This window comes from Homo sapiens, chromosome 3 (genome assembly GCF_000001405.40).
Source record: "Homo sapiens chromosome 3, GRCh38.p14 Primary Assembly".
Classification (NCBI taxonomy): Eukaryota; Metazoa; Chordata; class Mammalia; order Primates; family Hominidae; genus Homo; species Homo sapiens.
The window spans coordinates 159,048,619-159,053,134 of NC_000003.12; the positions used below are offsets into that span (position 1 = coordinate 159,048,619).

At 41.5% G+C, this 4,516-nt stretch overlaps 1 annotated feature.

Moving 5' to 3' along the window:
- Positions 3,786–3,976: a silencer, noted in NCBI's record as "fragment chr3:158770193-158770383 (GRCh37/hg19 assembly coordinates)". NCBI's record gives its function as "represses an EF-1alpha promoter that drives an FKBP-Casp9 reporter gene in an ReSE screen in HepG2 liver carcinoma cells {active_cell/tissue: HepG2}" and the evidence as "EXISTENCE:reporter gene assay evidence [ECO:0000049][PMID:32094911]".

Genomic DNA, 4,516 nt, shown 5'->3' on the forward strand with positions numbered 1-4,516 from the left:
GAATTGATTTGATAGGTTAAAGCCTTATAAAAAGTAAGCAAAATAAGTATGGGAAATCTACCTTCTTACACCTTCCCTATTATGGAAAGAAAAATAATGCACACCAGTAGTAAAGTATCACTCTGAGTTGCAGGCTTTCAAATGGTATTGGGGTACATGGTTTTGGAGAACTTTGAGATCTGAGACAATGGCTGAAGCTATTTATCTTTCTAACATTCCCAAGGTATGTAAACCATTTCTAATGTAAATTAGAAAACTTATAGGCTTCAACAGTATGCTAGATTTAACATGATCCTTCATTATGGAAGAAGTATTTCCTGTTGTTTAGTTTTGTCTCACTAATGCTGTATATTTTCTGAAACCTAAATCCATATCTTGTATCTATACACGTATAGCTATACTTTTTGAGGATTGATCAACCTCGCTACACACAGGGATCCATAACAGATTTTGGTGCTTCGGGGTAGAAGAGGATTCTAGGAAGGAATCACAGTTTATACACATAGCTTAGCATCATGGATTATGTGGAGATATTGAGGGAATTTCTTATTCTCTGAAGAAATGCTCTGATGAGATACCACTAGAAAAATACACTAATCTCTAAGACAAGTGCTCAGGAGGATCAGATTTCAATACCTTTGCTATAATCCTTTCAAACAGGGGTCCAATAGAATTATGGATATACATCAAATTCTAAAACACGTATGGCCTGACTTTAATGATGCATTGCTGTCTCAATAATAAACTCATTTGTCTAATTATTCTCAGGTGGTTTCATAAAACAAAACAAAACACCACAACACATTGACAGCCTTCCTACTGTACTCCCTATCCCACCTCATCCATGTTTTTGTTTTCTTTATTTTTCAGGGAAATATGCATAAGTATTTGAGCATATTTCCTCCTTTACCACTATACGTTAACTTTCACCATGTTTTAGTATTAATATTAATTAAAATAATATTTTCACTCTAATCGTTAAAGACCAATGGAATTTCGTTGGCATATGGCTGAAGTATAAAAAATTATAATTAATGGTGGAATTGTTTGAAGTCATCTTGAATCTAATAAATAATTATTATCATTGGCTGGGTGCAGTGGCTCACACCTGTAATCCCAGCACTTTGGGAGGCTGAGGCGGGCAGATCACCTGAAATCAGGAGTTCGAGACCAGCCTGACCAACATGGTGAAACCCCATCTCTACTAAAAATACAAAATTAGCCAGGCATGGTGGCACATGCCTGTAATCCCAGCTACTCCGGAGGCTGAGGCAGGAGAATTGCTTGAACCTGGGAGGCGGAGGTTGCAATGAGCCAAGATCATGCCATTGCACTCCAGCCTGGGCAACAAGAGCAAAACTCTGTCTCAAAAAGAAAAAAAAAATTATCGTTATTATTATAAGGCGCAAGTGGCATAGTGGAAAAAGCATGGACTTTAGAGTCAGGAAGACTGACATCCAATCATAGATCTACTTCCTACCTTCATGATCTTGGACGATTTATAAACTTCTCTGAGCTTCGTTCCCTCATTTTTATAATGGAGATGACATCTACCTTGGGAAAGTTTTACTTTGTTTTGTTTTTCAGAATTGTATGTATATGAAATTTCTAACACAAGATCTAGAATGTAATAAGTGGTAGCTATTATTATTTTTTGAAATCTGAATTTAAAAAATTTTAAGTTTATTTTTAATTTTTGTGGGTGCATAGTAGGTGTATATACTTAGGAGGTAATTTGTGTGCTACATATACACTATACTATAGATAGTGTACATATAGTGTGTATGTGTATATATATATACTATATATAGTGTAGTGTATATGTAGCACACAGTTAATATTGGATTTTTTGGAGTATTGTTTAAAATTTACTTTGATTATTGAACATATACCTCCTTACAGAGTCTTGTGAAGATAGGGATCATGTTCCCAACCAATTTAGAAATCTCACTTTCAGAACTACCTCTTCAAAAACAAAAATGTGGTTGGCCTGGGATCCACTCTCTCCAAGAACTTGCTTATCATACGTATTTTCTATTATCTTTGTGGGCCTTCTAGAAAATATAAAAAGAGATGCAGGTAATTCCAGGACCATAAACAATTCTTAACAATTGGCTCCAGATGGACTGTTTGGGTTTGGCTAGGCTTATCACTTGATAGAAACATAGGTGCGTAGAGAAACCAAGAAGAGTCTGGGTGCAGTGGTGCATGCATGTAGTCCCAACTACTCAGCAGGCTGAGGTGGGAGAATCTCTTGAGCCCCAGGAATTCAAGGCTGCAGTGAGCTAGGATTGCACTGCTGCACTCTAGCCTGGTGATATGGTTTGGCTGTGTCCCTACCAGAATCTCAACTTGAATTTTATCTCCCAGAATTCCCATGTGTTGTGGGAGGGACCCAGGGAGAGGTAATTGAATCATGGGGGCCAGTCTTCCCTGTGCTATTCTTGTGATAGTGAATAAGTCTCATGAGATCTGATGGGTTTATTAGAGGTTTCCACTTTTGCTTCTTCCTCATTTTTCTCTTGCTGTTGCCATGTAAGAAGTGCCCTTTGCCTCCCGCCACGATTCTGAGGCCTCCCCAGCCATGTGGAACTGTAAGTCCAATTAAACCTCTTTTTGTTCCCACTTTTGGGTATGTCTTTTTCAGCAGTGTGAAAATGAACTAATATAGTAAATTGGTACCAGTAGAGTGGGGTGTTACTGAAAAGATATACAAAAATGTGGAAGTGACTTTGGAACTGGGTTACAGGCAGAGGTTGGAACAGTTTGGAGGGCTCAGAAGACAACAAGATGTGGGAAGGTTTGGAATCTCCTAGAGGCTTGTTGAGTGGTTTTGACAGAAATGCTGATAATTATATGAACAATAAGGTTCAGGCTGAGGTGGTCTCAGATGGAGATGAGGAACTTGTTGGGAACTGCAGCAAAGGTGACTCTTGTTGTGTTTTAGCAAAGAGACTGGTGGCATTTTGCCCCTGCCTTAGAGACTTGTGAAACTTTGAACTTGGGAGAGATGATTTAGGGTATCTGGCGGAAGAAATTTCTAGCAGCAAAGCATTCAAAAGATGACTTGGGTGCTGTTAAAAACATTCCATTTTAAAAGGGAAATAGAGCTTAAAAGTTCAGGAAATTTGCAGCCTGATGATGTAGTAAAGAAAAACCCATGTTTTGAGGAGAAATTTAAGCCAGCTGCAGAAATTTGCATAAGTAGCAAGGAGCCTAATGTTAATCCCCAAGACCAAGGGGAAAATGTCTCCAGGCCATGTCAGAGACCTCATGGCCTGAAGGCCCAGGAGGAAAACGTGGTTTCATAGGCTGAGCCCAGGGTCCCGTCCTGTGTGCAGCCTAGAGACTTGTGTGCCCTGTGTCCAGCTGCTCCAGCCATGGCTGAGAGGGGCCAATGTAGAGCTCAGTCTGTGGTTTCAGAGAGTGGAAGCCCCAAGCCTTGGCAGCTTCCATGTGGTGTTGAGCCTGTGGGTGCACAGAAGTCAAGAATTGAGGCTTGGGAACCTCCGCCTAGCTTTCAGAAGATGTATGGAAATGCCTGCATACTCAGGCAAAAGTTTGCTGCAAGGGTGGGGCCCTCATGGAGAACCTCCGCTAGGGCAGTGCAGAAGGGAAATATGGGGTCAGAGCCCCCACACAGAGTCCCTACTGGGGCACTGCCTAGTGGAGCTGTGAGAAGGTCCTCCAGACTCCATAATGGTAGATCCACCGACAGCTTGCACCATGCACCTGGAAAAGCCACAGACACTCAATGCCAGCCCATGAAAACAGCCAGGAGGGAGGCCATACCTGCAAAGCCACAAGGGCAGTGCTTCCCAAGACCATGAGAACTCACCTCTTGCATCGGCATGACCTGAATGTGAGACCTGGAGTCAAAGGAGATCATTTTGGAGCTTTAAAATTTGAGTGCCCTGCTGGATTTCAGACTTGCATGGGCCCTGTAACCCCTTTGTTTTGGCCAATTTCTCCCATTTGGAATGGCTTTATTTACCCAATACCTGTACCCCCATTGTATCTAGCTTGCTTTCGTTTTACAGGTTCATAGGTGGAAGGGAGTTGCCTCAGATGAGACTTTGGACTATGAACTTTTGGGTTAATGCTGAAATGAGTTAAGACCTTGGGGGACTGTTGGGAAGGCATGATTGGTTTTGAAATGTGAGGACATGAGATTTGGAGGAATCAGGAGCAGAATGATATGGTTGGACTGTGTCACCACCCAAATCTTAACTTGAATTCTATCTCCCAGAATTCCCATGTGTTGTGGGAGGGACCCAGGGAGAGGTAATTGAATTATGGGGGACAGTCTTTCCCGTGCTATTCTCATGATAGTGAATAAGTCTCACGAGATCTGATGAATTTATCAGGGGTTTCTGCTTTTGCTTCTTCCTCATTTTTCTCTTGCTGCCACCATGTAAGAAGTGCCTTTCACCTCCTGCCATGATTCTGAGACCTCCCCAGCCATGTGGAACTGTAAGTCCAATTAAACCTCTTTTTGTTCCCAGTTTCAGGTATG